The 24,558-nt window shown below is 42.9% G+C and overlaps 1 protein-coding gene across 4 annotated transcripts in view, besides 2 other annotated features; it reads left to right on the top strand.

The window, feature by feature from the left end:
- The window catches only part of RGS17 (regulator of G protein signaling 17), a 126,824-nt gene continuing 106,322 nt past the window's right edge, over positions 4,057–24,558 (top strand). The window contains exon 1 of one of the 4 annotated variants that reach the window (NM_012419.5): positions 4,057–4,215. Coding sequence is in view for 2 of the 4 variants with exons in the window: in XM_047418634.1 (XP_047274590.1) it covers positions 4,281–4,300 (20 nt within the window). In the remaining 2 variants the exon portion in view is untranslated. Of the gene's footprint in view, positions 4,301–4,617; positions 5,041–9,688; positions 10,256–24,558 lie in introns of those variants that run through there. The other 3 variants (XM_047418634.1, XM_047418636.1, XM_047418635.1) reach the window with 3 other exon arrangements.
- Positions 4,126–4,175: a silencer, noted in NCBI's record as "silent region_17695". NCBI's record gives its function as "represses an Ori minimal core promoter by ATAC-STARR-seq in GM12878 lymphoblastoid cells {active_cell/tissue: GM12878}" and the evidence as "EXISTENCE:reporter gene assay evidence [ECO:0000049][PMID:35858748]".
- Positions 23,286–23,965: an enhancer, noted in NCBI's record as "H3K27ac-H3K4me1 hESC enhancer chr6:153432509-153433188 (GRCh37/hg19 assembly coordinates)". NCBI's record gives its function as "activates a minimal SCP1, AML or CMV promoter by ChIP-STARR-seq in primed H9 embryonic stem cells {active_cell/tissue: H9 hESC(primed)}" and the evidence as "EXISTENCE:reporter gene assay evidence [ECO:0000049][PMID:30033119]".

Here is a 24,558-nt window from a genome sequence, read left to right as displayed (position 1 = left end):
ATGGCTAAAACACACTAGCTATGATCTACAGAAGCGTGGTATAAGATAACTAGTTAGGGACAATACTATATAGAACCTTCCAGGCTGTCTTAAGAATTACAAATTGTGTTTGAAGTGCAATGAAAAAAAAAACTCATTTGAGCGTGTTAAGAAAGGGTATGACACAACCTGATTGTTTTTATTTATTTTTTATTTTTATATTTTTTGAGACAGAGTCTCACTCAGTCGCCCAGGCTGGAGTGCCGTGGCGCCATCTCGGCTCACTGCAAACTCCGCCTCCCGGGTTCACGCCATGTTCCTGCCTCAACCTCCCGAGTAGCTGCGACTATAGGCGCCCGCCACCATGCCCGCCTAATTTTTTGTATGAGTAGAGACAGGGTTTCACTGTATTAGCCAGGATGGTCTCGATCTCCTGACCTCGTGATCCACCTGCCTTGGCCTCCCAAAGTACTGGGATTACAGGCGTGAGCCACCGCGCCCGGCCTCTGATTGTTTTTAAAAGATCCTTCAGCTCTTAGTGTGTCCGGAATTGGTGGGTTCTTGGTCTCACTGACTTCAAGAATGAAGCCACGGACCCTCACGGTGAGTGTTACAGCTCTTAAGGTAGCGCGTCTGGAGTTTGTTCCTTCTGATGTTCGGATGTGTTCGGAGTTTCTTCCTTCTGGGGGGTTCGTGGTCTTGCTGGCTCAGGAGTGAAGCTGCAGACCTTCGCGGTGAGTGTTACAGCTCTTAAGTCAGCGCGTCTGGAGTTGTTCGTTCCTCCGGGTGGGCTCGTGGTCTCGCTGGTTTCAGGAGTGAAGCTGCAGACCTTCGCGGTGAGTGTTACAGCTCATAAAATCAGCGTGGACCCAAAGAGTGAGCAAGTAGCAAGATTTATTGCAAAGAGCAAAAGAACAAAGCTTCCACAGTGTGGAAGCAGACCGGAGTGGATTACCACTGCTGGCTCCAGCAGCCTGCTTTTCTCCTCTTATCTGGCCCCACCCTCATCCTGCTGATTGGTAGAGCCGAGTGGTCTGTTTTGACAGGGCGCTGATTGGTGCGTTTACAATCCCTTAGCTAGACACAAAGGTTCTCCAAGGCCCCACCAGAGTAGCTAGATACAGAGTGTCAATTGGTGCATTCACAAACCCTGAGCTAGACACAGGGTGCTGATTGGTGTGTTTACAAACCTTGAGCTAGATACAGAGCGCCGATTGGTGTATTACAATCCCTGAGCTAGACATAAAGGTTCTCCACGTCCCCAGCAGACTCAGGAGCCCAGCTGGCTTCACCCAGTGGATCCCGTACTGGGGCTGCAGGTGGAGCTGCCTGCCAGTCCCGCGCCCTGCGCCTACACTCCTCAACCCCTGGGTGGTCGATGGGACTGGGTGCCGTGGAGCAGGGGGTGGCGCTCGTCGGGGAGGCTCCGGCCGCAGGGGAGCCCATGGAGGGGGTGGGAGGCTCAGGCATGGCAGGCTGCAGATCCCGAGCCCTGCCCCGCGGGAAGGCAGCTAAGGCCCGGTGAGAAATCGAGCGCAGCGCCGGTGGGCTGGCACTGCTGGGTGACCCAGTACACCCTCCGCAGCCGCTGGCCCGGGTGCTAAACCCCTCATTGCCCGGGGTCGGCAGGGCCTGCCGGCTGCTCCGAGTGCGGGGCCCGCCAAGCCCACGCCCACCCGGAACTCCAGCTGGCCCGCAAGCGCCGCGCGCAGCCCCGGTTCCCGCTCGCGCCTCCCCCTCCACACCTCCTTGCAAGCTGAGGGAGCCGGCTCTGGCCTTGGCCAGCCCAGAAAGGGGCTCCCACAGTGCAGCGGTGGGCTGAAGGGCTCCTCAAGTGCCGCCAAAGCGGGAGTCCAGGCAGAGGAGGCGCCCAGAGCGAGCGAGGGCTGTGAGGACTGCCGGCACGCTGTCACCTCTCATTAGGAGGGTGTTGTTCGGGGTTGTGGAGGATAGAAATGAGCAGACAGAATAGGGGCTTTTGTGGTTGCCCAGGTGAGAGATGACAATAGCTTGGACTAAGGTTATGGCAGTAGAGAGGGAGCAAAGTAGATACCTTGGAAATATATTTTGGAGGTGAAGAAAACATGACTAATTAATTGAGTGCGGGGATGAAAGAAAGCAACAAAACGAGGATGACTTCTAAATTTTTGGAATGAACAACAGAGTAGAACAATTTGAGGAGGAACAGGTTTGGAGGGGGTGGATATCCGGAGTTCCGCTTCTGAGATGCCTGTTAACCATGATAATAATAGTATCTACCTTGTAGGGTTGTTGTGAACAACGAATACGAAATATGAGGAGAATTTAGATCTGTACCTAGCATGTAGTAATTGTTCAATAAATACCAGCTACGACAATTATTCCTCAAGTGGAGATGTAAAGGTAGTGAAGGACATAAGAGTTCTGTGTGAGGCCAGGACAGGACTGAAGACATAAATCTGAAAGTTATATAGGATTCAACGCTGCTCAAATCATTTTTGGTGAAGAACTTTTATCTTTATCCACCGCGAATCAATACTGCAGTGGACTAGCCGTGTTTGTCTCTCCAAAATTCGTATGTTCGCATTCTAACCCTCAAGATGATGATATAAAGAGGTGGAACCCTTGGAAGGTGGTTAGGTCATGAGGGTGGAGCCCTCATGAATGGGACTAGTGTCCTTATAAAAGAGACCCCAGAGAGCTCCCTTGCTCACTTCCACCACGTGAAGACACAGCAAGGAGTCAGCAGTTCATGAGCTCGGAATTGGGCCCTCACCAAATAAGGTATCTGCCTACATCTTGATCTTGGACTTCCCAGTCTCCAGAACTGTAAGAAATCAGTTTCTGTTGTTTATAAGCCATCCAGTCTATGGTATTTTGTTATAGCAGCCTGGAAGACAAAGACAAATACTTCTGTGAAATCCAACAAAAATGAAGACACTTTGAAGAGCACTAGTACTCAAAGCCATGGGAGGCCCTGGAGGAGGCCCTGAGACATATTTAACCCAAGTACCCGTGAGTCTATGAGGATGGAGGCACAGGAGAGTTCAGTAGGCTGAAATAACACAACGCTTGCTTACATGAACACACAAGGAAGGGGAACTCACACAGATTTACAAGTAATCTGTTTTAATTAGGTGTAAGAAAAAAAAGCCCATTCACTCCTGCAGGAACTCCCTCCTCTTCCCACAGATGTGGTATCTGAAGAGCAAGACACTGCTTCTCCACTTCCTCCGCACAAACACTTTAGTCTAATCATTGGAGATGCAATCTAGCGCTCGGGTTGCATTAAGTATCCCAAGCTCCTTCCCTACCAAGCTGGGCTCCACTTGGGCACAGAACGATTATCAGACCTGGTAACTACCAAGCTGTCCCCTAAGGATGCTCTAGGCCCCAAGCATCAGCACCTCCGTTAATAATTCTCCACTCTTGCCTTGTCATCGGCTTTTCTCACTCAAAACTCTGCTCCAGCGAGTGGTCCGGGCGCCTGAGGCAGCTGGCATGGGCTAGGCCAGAGAGCACCTGCACTGATTCTTAGGAGAAAAGGTCCTCTTTCTGGGCGAGGAAGTCAATAAAGTAAAGGACGCTTCATAAAGTCCTTCGGGAAGCAAAACTTGCTTAACTTCACACTTCCTTGAACCCCCACGCAGGGAATGCTTCCTCCGGGACCCGGAGCAGGCAGGCTGCTGTGCCTGGCAGGCCGGCTCCTGGGTGCAAGGCTCCCGCGCAGCCCAGGACAGCAGCGCGCGGGCTACGGGCGAGTGGAGTTGCAGGGGCCCGGGCGGAGAGCCGCTGTCACCCAGGGAAGCTCTCGGGACTCCGGGCCTCCCGCGAAGCTCCGGACGGGCGTCACCGAAGCCGAGAGTCCCGGCCGAGCCCCTCCGCACGGTGGGCGCCGCGCCCAGGCGAGCGCGCGAGGTCGGGCGGGGCCGGGGGCCGCCCGGGGAGGGGGCGGGGCCGGGACTCTCGCGGCCGCGCGCAGGGGCTGGGAAGCTGCCCCTCCGGCCGCGCCGGGCGAGGGGCTGCGCCGGCCCGCGAGGCGCATGCGCGCTGCCGAGCGGCTCTCGCTCCCTCCCCGCCCACCGCTCCCTCCTCCCCCTCCCCCTCCTCTGCATCCTCGCCGCTCTCCCTCTCTCCTCGCCCGCTGGGTGCTGAAGTTGGGCGGATGGCAGCAAACCGGCTCCGCTAGAGGACCGAGCCGCCCAGCCCCGCTCCCCCGGACCCATCGGCGCGCTGCCCACACCTCCAGGCGACCGGGTAAGACGCTGCCTCCAAAACAAGCGGTGCTAAGTAAATGACATCAAAATGTCTGCTTTGCACCAATGGATGGATTTTTTTCAAGGTAGGGGGGAGGTGAAGGAAGGAGGGGGCGGAGAGCGCGACCGCCCATGCCCCGGCGGGGGCGGCTGCGCGGCGCTGGGGTCTCAGCTGTGGCCGCGGCGCCCTGAGCGGGAGCGGGGGCCGCGCCGCGGGTCCGGGAAGTTGAATCCCGCGTCGCTGCCTGGACGCGGTCCGCTCGCCGCCCTCAGCTGCTGCAGGGAACCGGGCGAGTGTCCTGCCCGCCGGGGAACGCTCGGCCAGGTCCCAGAGTTCCCGCGGAGAGCGGGGCGCCTGCTGGGGGCGGCCGGGAGGGCCGGGCCAGGGGCGCGGGAGACCCCGCGGGGACGCGAGGTGTTGCGGGTTTTGTGCGGTTGGTTGGGAACGAGGAGAATGTGCCATCAACAGTGTCCAATCGACTGATCACCTTGGGTGCTGTGTTTCCTCCCTTATCTCTCTTTACCTTTGGGAAAATGCACTGCTCAGGTGGGGAAGGTGTTCGAAGAAGAGGTTGCGAAAATGAATCCTTTGACCAGCAGTAAAATACCGGAGGGGTGTGTGTGTGTGTGTGTGTGTGTGTATGTGTATGTATGTATAGGGGGTGGGGGGTCTCTTTTGTTCCTTCCCCTCCCCTTAGTCAAAGGAAAGGGAGTCCTGGCGTGTGCGGCGCGGGGTGGATTCCACAGCCACCGAGGGGGCGAGGACGAGGAACGCCCACCAACCGCGAGTCGCTGCCCGGGTGGGCGCATCGGAGCCTCCTTTGCTGTAGGTGATGGTGGTCTTTCCGTGATCGATGGAATCATAGTTTAATCTCTGCCTCCCCGCCAGCCTCCCTGCTGTCCCTCATCGAGTGCTGCGGCAGAGGCTGGGTGCAGACACGGCCGCTTTCTCCTCTTCTCTCTGCCTCCCTGTCTCCCTGAATAAATGCCGGAGGACTAGGGGATGGCGGAGGGACAGAGCTGGACTCGGAAGCCGCGGGTGGGAGCTGCTCCTCGCGAGCCCGAGGCTGCTGGCACCTTGTCGCGGGCAGCCCGCGCCAGCCTCGGGAGTCCCTGGGCTCCGGGAGAGCGAGCCGGGGTCGCCTGGCCACAAAGATGCCCGCGCGCCCGCCCTGCGTACGGGACCCGCCCTGCGCCCTGAGCCCTGCGCCTCGCCCGGAGCCCGGGACGTCGGTTCACGTGGGAGAACCCCTGTCGCCCGGGGACGATTGACCCTGGCTCCTGGCATAACTCTCCTGACCTCCCCTGACCTTTCCATAAATGCTTCTTTCAAAAGATTCACTATAAGATTTGTCTGGAGAACTTCACACTCTTCAGAGTTATTTCTTTCTTTTCTTAAATTGTTTTACGGCGAGATTCTCTCCAGCGTGGGATGGCTTTCACAAATAATAAAGAGAAATCTTAGTTTGGTTCCCATCTAGAATAAGCAGTTCTGAGGCTGGGTGCCATCTGCATTTCCGGCGTTCATACATACTGGTTTTCCGGGTGATGAACCCTTCTGAAAATCATTTAATTGAAGACGTGAGAATTGATTTTTATTAGTGTAGTGGAAAATAATGCTTTCCTCCTCGATTCACAACTGCCAGACGCTGCGTGTACGAAATAATTTGCAAACCGTGAAACATTTAAAGTACATTGTACTTGTTTCCGAAGTCTTCTGTAGTGAGAGTATTATCCAAGAAATATGCATTATAGCACTCCTATCTAATGGAAGGGTGATTTAATACAAATGAATGAGAAGTTTGACCTCCTCCAGTTGTTACTGTTGTTAAGCCATTTCTTCTGTTAACATGAACTAAAACAGTAATTAGCACACTCATGGGAGACTGGATTTATTCACTAGTTTTTATAGTCTTTTGAAACCCGCACTTAGAGCCACCATAGGAGAGTAGTTTATTTAGTTTGAGGTAACAAGAAAAGAAGTGTTCGTTATTACAAAAAGATTGAGTGGTATTACTTATTAAATAAGATAAATCTCCATGGCAATGACACGTGATCTCAGAGCCAGGGGCACTCATCCTTCCTCCTGAAATTAGTCTGAACGATTAAGAAAACCGTCGAATTTACAGAACAAATAACATAAGGTGTCTGTTATGCTGATTGATTTCGACCCTTTTTGCTATAGTTCCGCAACTACTCCTTGGCGTTTAGTCCCCACGGAAGGGAATTAACAAGGAGAGTTAATTTACTATCCTGTTCATTCTAAGGCAAACAGCATTTCCTTCTCAAATAGGTATCTCTTTGGTTGTAGGGCTCTTCCTCTGAGGTACTTATTTATTTGAATTCATCATGTTTAAGGTCTAAGTTCCTTATTCCTGTGACCATTTTATACTTTTGCATAATAATAAATAATAATAATAATAAACCTTCCTTAACATTTCCTACCACGAGGGCCACGGTCTTTGAAGAAAAGGAGAAATATATATTCTTACCCGTTTGATCTTACTGTAACAGCCAAGTAAAAGTGAAAATTTTAAATCTGAATTGATCAAAATTCTGGTTGACTTGCAGAGTAAAGTCTAAGAAAGATTTTACCTTTTAATCTAAAGCCGTAGAGATAATGGCCTTTGTGTCAGAAGTCCGTTTGCTAAAATACATGGGCTTTCCTGGAAAAGGAAGGTAGGCATGGATGATGAGGTACGATGCCAAGAGGGCTGGGAGTCCATTCAACCACATTTCTGCTGAGAATCCTGTTTCTGATACTCTCCAACTCTGCTTACTTAACACTGAGAATACTGCACTACCAAAGAGGGCAAATCGAAGGACCGCTATATACCCAGAGGTTGAGAATAATGCTATGTGATGTTAAAAGCATTTTATTTCACCTGATTGGTATAGTTAGAGTGTAAGTGTGAATGCATTGTGGAGGCGTAAAATTATATGACATTTCCAAGGGAGTGTCAAGGGTCCTCAGACAAATATATTTTTATGGAAAACCTTAAAATAATCCTTTGCTATAGGTAGCCAATAGGTAGCCAAGACTTTCAGTGTGAGATTGATGGATACTCCCACCTTCCTTCTCTCCCTACCCACACTTATCTCTGAAAAAAAGACACTTTCCTAACTTCCAAAGAAATTCATTTAGACGATCATTCCTGCTATTGTGCCAGCACCTGGCACAGTATGTGGCAAAGGCAGGTGTAAAATAATTTTTCCTAAATTAATAAATTTTGCAGGGTCGACATGGCTCGCAAAAGTCTTCCAAGGTAAGAATTGCATTTTTAAAATCAGCACTTACACTGTTTACCAAGTACACTAGTTGGGCTCCTAAAACTCGTGTTTATGGTCCTACATCTTTGGAGGAAGCAATTTTCAGAATTGTCGTTTTGGGAATATATATGTGTTTAATACAACATTTATATTACTGATTTGTTTCCCAATTATAAAAGCTCTATATTTGCTTATCTTAGATCCCCTACGATACAAAATTACCTATAGGCAGATATGGATGTGAAGAGCATGAATTTTGGGTCAAGCTGGCTTTAGCTTGTATTGTGGCTCCTCCCTTTAAAAACTTTATTGCTGTAGGCAAGTTACTAATCTGTCCTGAGCCTCAGTTTCCTCAGACATACAAGAGGGATGAAGGCAGGATGCAAGCATAAATACAATGCAATGTATATAAAGTACTGAACATAGTGCTTGGCATGTACTGAGTGCTTATAATTATCTCAATACCTAAAGAACTGCTATTGAAAACACAGCATGGTTTACCACAAGTTTATTTGCTTTATATAAACGTACCATTGTTTTAAGAATTTGAATCATATTCTAGAACAGGGGTCCCCAACCCCTGAGCTGCAGACGGGTACCAGCCCATGACTTGTTGGGAAGCCAGCAGCACAGCAGGAGGTGAGTGGCTGGTAAGTGAGCATTACCTCCTGAGCTCCTCCTCCTGTCTGATCAGCGGCTGGCATTAGATTCTCATAGGAGCGTGACCCCTATTGTGAGCTGCGCATGCAAGGAATTGAGGTTGTGCACTCCTTATGAGAATCTAATGCCTGATGAGCTGACGTGGAACAGTTTCATTCCAGAACTATTCCCCCACCCCCACTGCCATCCGTGGAAAAATTGTCTTCCATGAAACCGGTCCCTGGTGCCAAAAAGGTTGGGATGGCTGTTTTAGAACTTCATATTTCTAAAAAAATTAACATTCCTTTGTTGCTGTTTCTCAAGAAATTAAAATTGATATTTTTAATGCGATTTAGTGATATAGTTCACCTTATGAATGTCTTTATTTAGCCATTCTTTTATCTTTGGATTTTGATCCTCATGCCTAAATTTTGTATGCGTATCTCTATTGCAGTTTCTCCTTTGGGCACGATGCTTAGAACAGCTAGTTCTTGCCAACATAATGCCATTCTTTAAAAAATCTTTGCTAACTTGATAGGTGAAAATAATATTTTTCAAACTTTTATTTCTTTGGCTACCAATAAGACTGATTACTTTTTGACATACTGATAAGCAGTTTTTGTCTTTGAGGATGGCTCGTTCAAGTCTTTAGCCTGTGTTTCCACTGCTGTTCTGGTACATTTTTCTTATTTGTTTGAGTGCTAATATTAATTTTTTAAAAGGCAGAAGCAAACAAGGAAAGGAAATGCTCAGTGACAAAGATCACTGTGGCTAAACCAGAAAAGCTGGATCAGCCAGGGCATTGGGGTTCATCATATACTGCTACACCCCTGAGTTTTCCAACCTTTACACTTCTTTTTAGAAGTCCGGAATCAGTAAACAATTTGCTCACAAACACCTTACTATGAGAAGCTTGTGTCTGAAGAGTTCCCAGATAGTCGTGGATTGTTTCTGCCAGTTGCCAATGTTATGGAAGAACTTCTGAGTTTTTCTGAGATAAAGGGGTTGAAAGGAAAGATGGGAGTACATAGAGATCATAGGGACATTCATTTGATTTCTCATCAGAATGAGTCAGTTAAGCTAAATTATAAAACCATGTCAGGTTAGAATCATACCTTACTTCAACTACTAAGCTCTAGGTGAAATTTACACATGTTAAAAGTAAGAATTTAATGTGTTACCTTAACGAGCTCTGTATCTGCAATGTTTCACATGATTCAGTGGTCTTGTAAGCTCCTGTTTTTGACTTTTTAAGTTCTATAACTTTTGACAAATTTGGTTTCAAAAGTTTAATTATCTAGCTTGGAAAATCTATAAAGTCCTTAGGTATTAAACTATCTAGAAAGTATAAATGTTTTTGTTTTGTTTTTTGAGGCAGGGTCTCACTCTGTCACCCAGGCTGGAGTGCAGTGGCTCAGTCATGGCTCACTGTAGCCTCAACCTCCCTGGGCTCAGGTGATCTTGCCACCTCAGGAGCTGGGACTACAGGTGTGTACCACGACGCCCAGCTAATTTTTGTATTATTTGTAGAGTCGGGGTTTTGCTTGTCTTGAACTCCTGGGCTCAAGCAATCCACCCACCTCAGCCTCCCAAAGTGCTGGATTACAGGCGTGAGCCACTGCGCCCAGCTGAAAGTGTAAAATTTTATAATCATCAGTGGTACCAGTTTATCAAATACAGTAAAACCTGAGTAATTCAGAATTTATAATGATGGGAGGTCCCTATAGGAGAAGCAATGACCTATGGTGGAAAATAAAATCTATTTCAAATAGAAATGGATTTGAATTTTTACTCTACTATTTATTAGATATGCAGGCTTTTTCATGAAATTATAGAAGTATTTTATACTTAGTATTCTAGCATGATTAATAAATATCTAAAATCACTGAATTTCTTAAGCTTTGTATGTGAGATTTTTAAAAATTCCCTGTGTCAGTAAATATAATTCTATTGTAGTCAATGATTGTGGTTCACAAAGCAAATATTTACTTCCTTATCTTGGGTCACAGGCTTTTCACAGTACAGTACTGCTGATTGGCTGTTGAAATACACAGGTTATAATTCAAGAGCCATGGCATTACAGTAAAACAGACACAACCTGGGGGAAATTATGACATAAATGGAATGAGCAGGTGAGTGTTTATTTCATTTTAAAAATTTTCTTGAATCTTCCCAATAATATAGTGAGTTAAATCCAGTGAAGTCTCTTGTGAAAGTTGTCACTTTCTCTATTTTCCAGTCTCTATGAAAGGTGGGAGCCTGTTATTTTGGTGTATTTATGATAAGTCATGTAATCTACAGATTTTATGAGTCAGTTTTGGCTCTTGGTAGACGACCCTATGTCCACGTCCTATTACCCTAAACTCTCCTATTTTTTCAGGATTTGATTAATCAAACTCAACAAATATTTGAAAGTTTGCTATTTGAAACACAGCAATCCATATTATTTAATTCACATGAAGTAAAAAAGCTTATGGAAAATTGCCCTTAAAAGAAGGAGACTTTAAAAGCAGAGAATGTAATTTGGTGGAAAGAGCCCAGGTTTTAGATTCAAATAACCAGGGATTTAGCCTTCACTTCTTTGAGCCTTAGTATCATTATCTGTAAAACTGAAGACAATTTAAAAATGTTAAAGGATTAAAAGAAATTATGTCTATAAAATCTTTCATATATTGGTACTCAGTATGGAAGTGTTAGGTATTGTATTAGACTTAATAAATCAAAATAGGTACAAGAAACATCATGTAAACAATAAGGGCTTGAAGGGGTTTTAATTTCGTGCCAGTATTTGTCTTAACTAATTGGTCCTTATTAATGTTTAGGTTGTTCTCCATGTATTTCGTGTGTTATCCTTTCCTGACTAGTTTGTTTCACCAACCTGCTTACAAACATATTTGAGCACCCACTATGTGCTAGGCTGTGTGATATTTTTGGATACAAAGATTAATTAAACGTGGCCCCTTTCCACAAGGAGTTCACATATAAGCTTCTTCAAGTTATTTTTCTTTTATCTAGTGAGTACTGGTCATTCTAAGCTTTGAAGTCATAGCTAAATACAACATGGGAGTAATAGGCAATGATTTCCTTAGGGTTTAGCAATAGACCAATTGATCTCAAAATTTAGGAGCCTCTACAACTAATGTTCAAGCAAGCTGCTAAGCAGAGACTCAGAGATAAGGGGAAGAAAAGCAGGAAGTGGCTCTGTTGGTGGATGATTTAACAACCTCCACCATAGTATCAGAACAACAACAGACTGGAGGCTTAACCCTCTTTGTGAACCGACCTCAACACCCAATTCCTTCTCATTGAAATAAAGAAAATGTGTACATACATCTGTACTATGCCTTTTCCCCTCTCACTTGTAGGCTACCCTGCGTAATCATTGTAATGTAAGATATTCTAAAACGCTGGTGTAGGGGATGAACAAAAGGGAAGGAGAGTGAGATCCCTGCCCTTCTTCCGGGTCCACATTTCCCATGCACTAGCAATATTTTAGAATTTTTTCCTGATACTGCTGCAGTTCCATCTTTGATTACAATCTGTTTATAATATAGTACCTTGACCAAAACCCCAGAATCCTCAGTTTGGATGAAGAATAAATACATTTAAGTTTGAGAAAGAAAACCATCTCCAATATCAACTTGTTAAAATCACTAGGGCAATTTCTAAATCTAGCAGTTAGATTTGCTCCGATCTGGAAAGATTTTGTATGATTTATAAGATCAGAGTGAAGACTTCAAACCCGTTCTAGAAATATGTGATGAATAGATAGTTAATATATCTAAGTATGGAAATGAAAGACATTGACATTAGGAATGAATTAACTTGAAGGTAAGCTCAGCACTCCTGTCAGCCACTACATTTAACATTCTTGTCATTAAATCTTTGACCGGGCTCTTAATAAGTAAAAATGTATGCTAATGTAAGATTTGAACCTATTTCTTTCTCAATTTATTGCCACTCAGCACTACCATACAGTAATTTACCTGTGACCTATGAGTTTAGTATGATCAAAATTCACTAGATAAAAGCAAAGGAAAACTAGTGTCTTTTATTAGGGCACTAAGGCATAGACATGCTATAAAGCAATACAATGACCTATATAATTTACAAACTATTATGATTAACTGAATGCCGTGTTGTGAATTGGAGTATTAAATACTCCAATTTACTCCAGTGTACATTGGAGTATTAAATACTCCAATGTACTCTGATGTACTCCAATGTACTCCAATGTACATTGGAGTATTAAATACTCCAATTTACTCCAATGTACATTGGAGTAAAAGGCTTCATTGTGAATTGGAATACTAACATTTTCCCTACCTACTGTTTGGGTGAGGCTTGACATTTGATTTTCCCCACACTCTCTTATGATTATTATTGTTATTAGTATTTCTAAATAGATAAATTGAGGAGAAAGGAGCATCTTTGCTTTTCATACATCTAATAGTTCATAGAAAAATAGGTGTTTACTCATATTTTATGTAATTTTAGGATATTTACATAATTTTGTTGCCTGAAATTTAAAACATATCAAGAGCTCAAATGTTCTATCTGCCAGGAAAAAACAAACAAACAAAAAACCCTACTGTCTTATTTTCTTCTGGTAGGAATAAACTGCCCTGATTGTAATTTCTATGCTAGTTTATCAGTAAATAATATTGGCAATTTTGACTCAAGCTATTGGAGTCCATGTTTTCTTCATCTACTCAAGTCCAGTAACTTCAATTTTCACTGATGAAGAAACATTTTAAACTAAATTACTTTCAGTAAATTCAATGTCTAATGACCCACCTATGTTTATATAAATGATGGATTTAGTTGAAAGTTACATTTATTTATCATTTTGAGTACTCAAAACCAAACAATAGAGAAATCCTTCCCACACTGGAATTGTCTCCAAAATGTAATATTTTGAAAAGATGATTTTATGTGTCAATGTATGCATATATGTATGTTTCCCCTTTTATTTATGGGAAACAACTGATATGGTGCCTACGTAATCATAGCCAAATATTCAGGAAGAAAGGATACATACTTGAGAATAGAGGGGGAGGCACAAATGAGATGAGAAGGAGAGTCAAGTAAAAAGCAGGAAGGCTGGGCTCAGAAAACAAGACTATTAGTTAAAAACTCATTATATCTTAAAGTATAATATCATTCAATACGTTATTATGTAACTCTGCTATATTATGTAACCACTTCCAGTTTTGTGAATTCATGTGACCTAATCTTAAGAAGGTAATTTTTTCCCATTAATTCAGTAATTTCATTGACTGAACATCTGGGTAATGCAAGTGGGGTTTCGTAAGGTAGAATTCCATTAAATAAATGTTAATTCCAGGAAGGAAAAAATGTGAAGCCCTTTTCTTGACCTAACATAGGTTATGTTAAATAGTTTAAAATTCTCGTAGGTGATACTGAAATTCAATCACATTGATAAAGAATCTATTCCCAAGTTTTCTTTCTAAATGCAACTATTTCGAGTACATCTTATATAAAATCAACTGTATCTTTGTGATGTAAAGACCTTTATGTCTTGTTTCAAAATAACAGCAGTGAATAAATGTGTATGATAAGCTTTTTATTTTTATTGAGCAACAGGACATTGCAATGACTTAATATCTAAAATATTTATTAAGACTTTGGGGGAGTAACAAGTGAGCTTGGAAAAGCTTGTCTGCTCATTGCCACTGAGATTATTTTTAAGAGAATGTGGATTTATGGCTTAGTAGGATCACTGAATGTAGTTACTCAGTGAGGTGGCTGATTGCAACCAAAATCAACTTTGGCACTTGGTGTGCTGGCCTCTGACTGTTGCCCCCAAGAGAGTTCTAGTCTGGTTAGATTTTAGGGAAAAAGAAATAGGTTATGTTCCTGAAAGTAGAGTTCAGAGGATACAGTCTAAAATGTTATGTTAGAGAGAGGCAGCAACAAAGGAAAGAGAGAAAAGTCTTTCGGTGCATTGGTAAATACAGCCTGTGTGGGTCTGAATTTCCAAGTGTTTGCATTAGATTTCCAAGTTTTCTTTAGTTTCTGCTACTCATCAGTTTTACCTCTTCTGTTTTCTGCCTCCTTTTTCTTAATTAATGTGCTGTGTAATTCAATCCTTACTCTGTACCAAAGAATAGCAAAATTAAAAAAAAAAACATGAACAAGTCTGAGGGAGCCTAAAGAATAAAGAGATAAGACCTATATGTAAATTTCTGTTATTATTATATTCTAGGAGAGAACTAAAATGCTGTGAGAACTCAGCAGCATGAGATTAATTTTAAATGGCTAGACCAGGATCTGGCAAAAGTGTCATAGAGGTTGTGACATTTTCTCGGATTATTGAAAGATAGAATTTTGACAGACAAAGAAAGGTGTCTCCAGGCTCAAAAACAATGTAAATAAAGATAGATGCAGAATCAGGAAAATTAAAACCATTTTGTGCACAATATTTCAAAAGCATACAGTACTCGCAGGAAATCACTAGATGATAAGGCTAAAAAAGAAGACATATACTGGCAGCTGCTAATATCAGAGTAAAAAGGTGGAATTTTCCTTGCTAGGCAGAGTGCTGCTGAAGCTCTCTAAGCGGAGGATTACCGGGCGGGAGCTGTGCTATGGGACAGGCGCTTCATCAGTCCATGCAGGGGGGCGGTCAAGGGAAGTAGGAACACCACAATTTCAGCTGTCCAGGTGAGAGAAGAGGCCTAAACTGAGAAACAGCAAAAGGCAGGGTCCATGGGAAGATGATGATGTGAGAAAATGTTTGAGTCAGAGCCTTCAAGACTTGGTGAACAAAAAGATCTAGAAGATGTAAGAGGAGCTATAAAGCTGTCAGGGAGCATTTTAGCCTATGAGTCTGGGAAATAAGGATGTCATAAGACATGGACAAGTCAAACTCATGAAGAGGTTAGTGAGGAAATAAGTTGAGTTCAGTAGTTTGACATAGCCATCAGAATTCTTGCAGATGTTTAGCACGCCATTGATTAAAAAGCCTCAGGGATATTATTTGATTAAGTAGGAAGTAACAAGTATGATCTTAGGCTATGTCAGTAGAGCCATATAGCGTCCAGAATGAAGTTGGCAATCGTTACGTTCTATTCTGCATATCCAAGTCACAATTGCAATGTTATTTTGAACTTATTTTTGACACCATGGTTAGAGGTCAAGAATATAGGTGGTGAAATTCACTTACAAAACAAAATAATTTGTGTGAGACATGGTTGGAGGAATTTGTACTTTCTTAACCTGGAAGACAGTGGTTTCCCTGGAAGATATGTGTGTTTCACCATTTGGAGAAAAGCCGTGGAAAAAGATTATACATTCTAAATTGTCCCAATGATATGATGAAAATAATAAAACCACCTTGCAGAGTTGTGGAGAGATAATATGTGCAGTGCCCCTGGAACACATTTCATATTCAATGTGTCTTAGCTCTTATTGTTACCTTAGGAATAGCATTAGAATCAGCGGACATGTATCACAAAGATGTTGCCATCCTATTGGAAATAACCGTTTTTTCTTTTTTGAGATGGAGTCTTGCTCTTGTTGCCCAGGCTGGAGTGCAATGGCGTGATCTCGGCTCACTGCAACCTCCACCTCCCGGGTTCAAGCAATTCTCCTGCCCCAGCCTCCAAAGTAGCTGTGATTACAGGTGCCCACCACCACAGCCAGCTAATTTTTTTTGTATTTTTAGTAGAGACAGGGTTTCACCAGGTTGGTCAGGCTTGTCTCAAACTCCGACCTCAGGCGATCCACCCGCCTCAGCCTCCCAAAGTGCTGGGATTACAGGCATGAGCCACTGCGCCCGGCTTGAAATAACTTTTAAGAGTCATAGCCAGCTGGTTAGGTAAGCTGCCTTGAAAGGTAGCAAGTTTAATGTCACTGAAAAAATGTAGGGTGGACAAATACTTGGCAGAGATGTCATGGAGGAAACTCAATGACTGGGAGGGTGAATGAACTACAAGGCCTCATTCTAACTCTGAGGTCCAGATGGTACCAGAGAATTTGGACTGCAAACCCAAGAGAATGACTAGAGCTAGAAATAAAACTTGAAAGTCTTTTACATACAGGTAACAATAGTAGAAAAGTGTCAAAGGAGAGAGAGCAGAGAGCAGGTGAGCTTAGAATAGAATCCTGGAGCATATCTGCATGAATGGGCATGTGGAAAAAGAAGGAAACTAAATATATACACATGCATACATACATGTATACATGCATATATTCATATATGTACACATTCATACATAAGATAGGATAAAAATGTGTTATAAAGAGAATGAAGACACTGTAATATGCCATAAAACCGAGGATGTGGAGATTTTTTTTACCAGTTTTATTCATATGTATAATAATCCTACACCAAAGATTAGAAAGAAGATCAGTGAGTTATGTCATGTGGCAGAAAGGGTGAGTAAGATCAAGACCAGGATGACACATCAGATTTTGCAATGAGGAAGTTACTTGTGATTGTTAAAAGCACTTGGTGATTAATGATTTATACATCATCTATTTCCAAAAAGTTTGGGGCAGCTTAAATAAAAGCACTTTCACACAAGGCAGTAAAAACAAAATAAAGATGAGAAACCATCAAGAGAAATAAATGGGGGAAATAGTGAATGTACCACAAAACCTGGGTAAGATCATTTTTGTAATAGGAGCACTACGTTTTAGCTATGTGGTTCCTGGCAGCCAAAATAAAAGGATAACAGGAAAGATTACCTATAATTCATTGGTTAACGAAGGAAAACAGATCTTCAGAAGAATTTTTGTTTCCTGGCACTAAATTCTATGAGGAGTATATCCCATACATTCTTAGATAAGAGACAGTGACATGTTAGACAATGTGATGAACAGTGGTTCTGCTGAAGATGCAGGTTTGCTTTAAGTTGCTGTTTCTTTAAGGCCTTGAAGGTCAAGTGTGCAATATTAAGATGAGGTTGGTAAAAGCCAATAAGGCAGTAATATTTCTTGTGGGCATAGACCAGATGGGCATCTGAATACTCCTGGGTGTGAAAAATCAGCATAAGAGAGCATTAGGGAAGAGGACATCCAAGAGAGGAGATGCAAGGATAGTTCCATGAACGTGAGGAGAGACAGCACCAAGTGCCCTGCAACCTCCTTTCCTTGGCACTTGCCACTCCCTCTGCCTAACAAGCTGTCCCCCAGTCTTTCTCATCATTCAAGTTTCCATTCAAATGTCACCACTTCAAAGAGACTCTAAGAACTGTCTTCCTAATGTGGTCCCTTCTTCATCCCTCCTCATATCTCTCACTCTCTAACAATAATCCATTTTATTTAACAGTATTTACTGCTCTGTTAAATTATTGTATTTATTATTAGTCTCCCTCATTCCAGAAACTAGAATGTAAGCTAGTACACCAAGCAGTGCCAGTGATTGATATGTTGAAGGAATGAATGTTTTATGAATGGGAAAGAACTCAGCTCAGTACTGATGTGATAATAAATAGGATGGTAGTATTGGGCATGGAGTAAATGCTTCCTAAAATGTTAGCTGAGAAGAAGATGATAATTATGATAAGGACATAATTTTGTCCTGAGAATATCAAGAACACTGGGGTTTGGAGGAAGAGCACATATTCTCTGTATACTTTTCTGTCCACTCACAAGGTGCAGGAGTACTAATATTAATGGTACTAATATGAATTGATCATGATTATAAGGGGCGGAGCCTAAGTGGGAAGAGTACAAAGAGTCCTATATCATGGCAAACCCCTTTTCCTCTCATATTGGATGAGATTGTTTGATAGTGCCTGATATGGTTAGGCTTTGTGTCCCCACCCAAATTTCATCTTGATTTGTAATTCCCATAATCCCCACGTGTTTAGGGAGAGACCTGGTGGGTGCTGATTGGATCATGGGGGCGGTTTTCCCCATGCTGTTTTCATGATAGTGAATGAGTTCTCACAAGAGCTAATGGTTTTATAAGAGGCTCTTCCCCTTTCACTCTCATTCTTCTCTCTCCTGCTGCCATGTGAGAAAGTCCAAGCTTGCTTCCCCTTCACCTTCCGCCATGATTGTAAGTTTCTTGAGGCCTCCCCAGCCATGCAGAACTGTGAGTCAATTAAATCCCTTTCCTTTATAAATTACCCAGTCTCGGGTATTTATATTTTTTCTTTTTTTAAATTATTATACTTCAAGTCCTGGGATACATGTGCAGAACATGCAGGTTTGTTACATAGGTATGCACGTGCCATGGTGGTTTGTGGCACCCATCAACCCCTTATCTACATTAGGTATTTCTCCTAATGCTACCCCTCCCCTAGTCCCCCACCTCCTGACAGGCCTTGGTGTGTGATGTTCCACTTCCTGTGTCCATGTGTTCTCATTGTTCAACTCCCACTTATGAATGAGAACATGTGGTGTTTGGTTTTCTGTTCCTGTGTTAGTTTGCTGAGAATGATGGTTTCTAGCTTCATCCATGTCCCTGCAAAGGACATGAACTCATCCTTTTTTATGGTGGCTTAGTATTCCATGGTGTATATATGCCACATTTTCTTTATCCAGTCTGTCATTCATGGGCCTTTGGGTTGGTTCCAAGTCTTTGCTATTGTGGAAAGTGCTGCAGTAAACATACATGTGCATGTGTCTTTATAGTAAAATGATTTATACTCCTTTTGGTATATACCCAGTAATGGGATTGCTGGGTCAAATGGTATTTCTGGTCCTAGTTCCTTGAGGAATTGGCCACACTGTCTTCCACAATGGTTGAACTAATTTACACTCCCACCAACAGTGTAAAAGCGTTCCTATTTCTCCACATCCTCTCCAGCATCTGTTGTTTCCTGACTTTTTAATGATCACCATTCTAACTGGCGTGAAATGGTATCTCCTTGTGGTTTTGATTTGCATTTCTCTAATGACCAGTGATGATGAGCTTTTTTTCATGTGTTTGTTGGCTGTGTAAATGTCTTCTTTTGAGAAGTGTCTGTTCATATCCTTCACCCACTTTTTGATGGGGTTGTTTGCTTTTTTCTTGTAAATTTGTTTAAGTTCCTTGTAGATTCTGAATATTAGCCCTTTGTCAGACAGACAGATTGTAAAAATTTTCCCCCATTCTGTAGGTTGCCTGTTCACTCTGATGATAGTTTTTTTGCTGTGCAGAAGCTCTTTAGTTTAATTAGATCCCATTTGTCAATTTTGGCTTTCATTGCCATTGCTTTTGGTGTTTTACTCATGAAGTTTTTGCCCATGCCCATATCCTGAATGGTATTGCCTAGGTTTTCTTCTAAGGTTTCTACAGATTTAGGTTTTACGTTTAAGTCTTTAATCTATCTTTAGTTAATTTTTGTATAAGGTGTAAGGAAGGTGTCCAGTTTCAGTTTTCTGCATATGGCTAGCCAGTTTTCCCAACACCATTTATTAAACAGGGAATCCTTTCCCCATTGCTTGTTTTTCTCAGGTTTGTCAAAGATCAGATGATTGTAGATGTGGCATTATTTCTGAGGCCTCTGTTCTGTTCCATTGCTCTATATATCTTCTTTGGTAGCAGTACAATGCTGTTTTTGTTACTGTAGCCTTGTAGTATAGTTTGAAGTCAGGTAGTGTGATGCCTCCAGCTTTGTTCTTTTTGCTTAGGATTGTCTTGGCTATACGGGCTCTTTTTTGGTTCCATATGAAATTTAAAGTAGTTTTTCCTAATTCTGTGAAGAAAGTCAATGGCAGCTAGATGGGGATAGCATTGAATCTATAAATTACTTTGGGCAGTATGGCTGTTTTCACGATATTGATTTTTCCTATCCATGATCATGGAATGTTTTACCATTTGTGTCCTCTCTTATTTCCTTGAGCAGTGGTTTGTAGTTCTTGAAGAGGTCCTTCACATCCCTTGTAAGTTGTATTCCTAGGTATTTTATTCTCCTTGTAGCAATTGTGAATGGGAGTACACTCATGATTTGGCTTTCTGTTTGTCTATTATTGGTGTATAGGAATGTTTGTGATTTTTGCACATTGATTTTGTATCCTGAGACTTTGCTGAAGTTGCTTATCAGCTTAAGGAGATATTGGGCTGAAATGATGGGGTTTTCTAAATATACAATCACGTTATCTGCAAACAGAGACAATTTGACTTCCTCTCTCCCTATATGAATATCCTTTATTTTTTTTCTCTTGCCTGGTTGCCCTGGCCAGAACTTCCAATACTATGTTGAATAGGAGTGGTGAGAGAGGGCATCCTTGTCTTGTGCCAGTTTTCAAAGGGAATGCTTCCAGCTTTTGCCCATTCAGTATGATATTGGCTGTGGGTTTGTCATAAATAGCTCTTATTATTTTGAGATACGTTCCATCAATACCTAGTTAATTGAGAGTTTTTAGCATGAAGGGGTGTTGAATTTTATTGAAGGCCTTTTCTGCATCAATTGAGATAATCATGTGTTTTTGGTCATTGGTTCTGTTTATGTGATGGATTGCATATATTGATTTCCATATGTTGAACTAGCCTTGCATCCCAGGGATGAAGCTGTCTTGATCATGGTGGATAAGCTTGTTAATGTGCTGCTGGATTCAGTTTGCCAGTATCTTATTGAGGATTTTCGCGTCGATGTTCATCAGGGATATTGGCCTGAAATTTTCTTTTTGTTGTGTCTCTGCCAGGTTTTGGTATCAGGATGATGCCAGCCTCATAGGATGAGTTAGGGAAGATTCCTTCTTTTTCTGTGGTTTGGAATAGTTTCGGAAGAAATGATATCAGCTCCTCTTTGTATCTCTGGTAGAATTCAGCTGTGAATCCATCTGGTCCTGGGCTTTTTTTGGTTGGTAGGCTATTAATTACTGCCTCAGTTTCAGAACTTACTATTGGTCTATTCTGGGATGAGACTTCTTTCTGGTTTAGTCTTGGGAGGGTTTATGTGTCCAGGAATTTATCCATTTCTTCTACATTTTCTAGCTTATTTGTGTAGAGGTGTTTATAGTATTCTCTGATGTAGTTTGTATTTCTGTGGGATCAGTGGTGATATCCCCTTAATCATTTTGTATTGTGTCTATTTGATTCTTCCCTCTCTTCTTCTTGATTAATCTGGCTAGCAGTCTATCTATTTTGCTAATCTTTTAAAAAAACCAGTTCCTGGATTCATTGATTTTTTTGAAGGGGTTTTTGTGTCTCTGTCTCCTTCAGTTTTGCTCTGATCTTAATTCTTTCTTATCTTTTGCTAGCTTTTGAATTTGTTTGCTCTTGCCTCTCTAGTTCTTTTGATTATGATGTTAGGGTTTTGATTTTAGATCTTTCCTGCTTTCTCCTGTGGGCATTTTAGTGCTATAAATTTCCCTCTAAACACTGCTTTACCTGTGTCTCAGAGATTCTGGTACTTTGTGTCTTTGTTCTCATTGGTTTCAAAGAACTTATTTATTTCTGCCTTAATTTCATTATTTACGCGGTAGTCTTTCAGGAGCAGGTTGTTCAGTTTCCATGTAGTTGAGCGGTTTGGAGTGAGTTTCTTAATCCCGAGTTCTAATTTGACTGGACTGTGGTCTAGAGACTGTTTGTTATGATTTCCATTCTTTTGCATTTGCTGAGGAGTGTTTTACTTCCAATTATGTGGTCAATTTTAGAATAAGTGCAATGTGGTGCTAAGAAGAATATATATTCTGTTGATTTGGGGTGGAGAGTTCTGTAGATGTCTATTAGGTCCACTTGGTCCAGAGCTGAGTTGAAGTCCTGAATATCCTTGTTAATTTTCTGTCTCGTTGATCTGTCTAATATTGACAGTGGGGTGTTAAAGTCTCCCACTATTATCGTTTGGGAGTGTAAGTCCCTAATAGGCCTCTAAGAACTTACTTTATCAATCTGGGTGCTCCTGTATTGGGTGCATATGTATTTAGGATAGTTAGCTCTTCTTGCGGCATTGATCCCTTTACCATTATGTAATGCCCTTCTTTGTCTTTTTTTATTTTTGTTGGTTTAAAGTCTGTTTTATCAGAGACAAGGATGGCCAACCCTGCTTTTTTTTCTTTTTCTTTCCCTTTGCTTGGTAAATATTCTTCCATTCCTTTATTTTCAGCTTATGTGTGTCTTTGCACATGAGATGGGTCTCCTGGATACAGCACACTGTTGGGTCGTGATTCTTCATCCAATTTACCAGTCTGTGTCTTCTAATTGGATGGAGCATTTAGCCCATTTACCTTTAAGATTAATATTGATATATGTGAATTTGATTCTGTCATTATGATGCTAGATGGTTATTTTGCCTGTTAGTTGATGCAGTTTCTTCATAGTGTTGATGGGCTTTACAATTTGGTATGTTTTGCAGTGGCTGGTACTGGTTTTTCCTTCCCATATTTAGTGCTTCCTTCAGGGACTCTTGTAAGGCAGGTCTGGTGGTGACAAAATCTCTCAGCATTTGCTTGTCTGTAAAGGATGTCATTCTCCTTTGCTTATGAAGCTTAGTTTTGCTGGATATGAAATTCTGGTTTGAAAATTGCTTTCTTTAAGAATGTTGAATATTGGCACCCACTCTCTTCTGGCTTGTAGGGTTTCTGCAGAGACATCTGCTATTAGTCTGATGGGCTTCCCTTTGTGGGTAACCCGACCTTTTTCTCTGGCTGCCCTTAACATTTTTTCCTTCATTTCAACCTTGGTGAATCTGACGATTAGGTGTCTTGGGGTTGCTCTTCTCGAGGAGTATCTTTGTGGTGTTCTCTGTATTTCCTGAATTGGAATGTTGGCTTGTCTTGATAGGTTGGGGAAGTTCTCCTGGATAATATCCTGAAGAGTGTTTTCCAACTTGGTTCTATTCTCCCTGTCACTTTCAGGTACACCAATCAAACGTAGATTTGGTCTTTTCCATAGTCCCATATTTCGTGGAGGCGTTATTCATTCATTTTCATTCTTTTTTCTCTAATCTTGTCTTCAGGTTTTATTTCATTAAGTTGATCTTCAATCTCTGATATCCTTTCTTCGCTTGATCAATATGGCTATTGATTCTTGTGTATGCTTCACAATGTTCTCATGTTGTTTTTCAGTGCCATCAGGTCACTTTCGTTCTTCTCTAAAATGGTTATTCTAGTTAGCAATTCCTGTAACCTTTTTTCAAGGTTCTTATATTGGGTTAGAACATGCTTCTTTAGCTGAGAGGAGTTTGTTATTACACACCTTCTGAAGCCTACTTCTGTCAATTCGTCAAACTCATTCTCCGTCCAGTTTTGTTCCCTTGCTGGTGAGGAGTTGTGATCCTTTGGAGGAGAAGAGGCTTTCTGGTTTTTGGAATTTTCAGCCTTTTTGCACTGGCTTTTCCTCATCTTTGTGGATTTATCTACCTTTGGTCTTTGATGTTGGTGACCTTCGGATGGGGTTTGTGTGGACGTCCTTTTTGTTGATGTTGATGCTATTCCTTTCTGTTTGCTAGTTTTGCTTCTAACAGTCAGGCCCCCCTGCTGCTGGAGTTTACAGGAGGTCCACTCCAGACCCTGTTTGCCTGGGTATCACCAGCAGAGGCTGCAGAACAGCAAAGATTGCTGCCTGTTCCTTCCTCTGGAAGCTTTGTCCCAGAGGGGCACCCACCAGATGCCAGCTGTAGCTCTCCTGTATGAGGTGTCTGTCAACCCCTGCTGGGAGGTGTCTCCCAGTCAGGAGGCATGGGGGTCAGGGACCCACTTGAGGAGGCAGTCGGTCCCTTAGCAGAGCTCAAGTGCTGTGCTGGAAGATCTGCTGCTCTCTTCAGAGCTGGCAGGCAGGAACATTTAAATCTGCTGAAGCTGCACCCACAGCCACCCCTTCCCCCAGGTGCTCTGTCCCAGGGACATGGGAGCTTTATCTATAAGCCCCTGACTGGGGCTGCTGCCTTTCTTTCAGAGATGCCCTGCCCAGAGTGGAGGAATCTAGAGAGGCAGTCTGGCTACAGCGGCCTGGCAGAGCTGTGGTGGGGTCAGCCCAGTTTGAACTTCCTGGCGGCTTTGTTTAGACTGTGAGGGGAAAACTGCCTACTCAAGCCTCAGTAATGGCGGACGCCCCTCCCCCGACTAAGCTCGAGCATCCCAGCAAGTTCAGACTGCTGTGCCGGCAGCAAGAATTTCAAGCCAGTGGAGCTTAGCTTGCTGGGCTCCGTGGGGGTGGGATCCGCTGAGCTAGACCACTTGGCTCCCTGGCTTCAGCCCCCTTTCCAGGGGAGTGAACAGTTCTGTCTCACTGGCATTCCAGGCACTGCTGGGGTATGAAAAAAAAAAACACTCCTGCAGCTAGCTTGGTGTCTGCCCAAATGGCTGCCCAGTTTTGTGCTCGAAACCCAGGGCCCTGGTGGTGTAGGCACCTGAGGGAATCTCCTGGTCTGCGGGTTGTGAAGACCGTGGGAAAAGTGTAGTACCTAGGCCGGAGTGCACCATTCCTCACAGCACATTTCCTCATGGTTTCCCTTGGCTAGGGGAGGGAGTTCCCCAACCGCTTGCGCTTCCCTGGTGAGACGATGCCCTATCCTGCTTCGGCTCGCCCTCT

The sequence above is a fragment of the Homo sapiens genome, chromosome 6 (genome assembly GCF_000001405.40).
Source record: "Homo sapiens chromosome 6, GRCh38.p14 Primary Assembly".
Classification (NCBI taxonomy): Eukaryota; Metazoa; Chordata; class Mammalia; order Primates; family Hominidae; genus Homo; species Homo sapiens.
The sequence above is the reverse complement of the archived record's forward strand: the minus strand, read 5'-3'. Positions and strand labels throughout refer to the sequence as shown.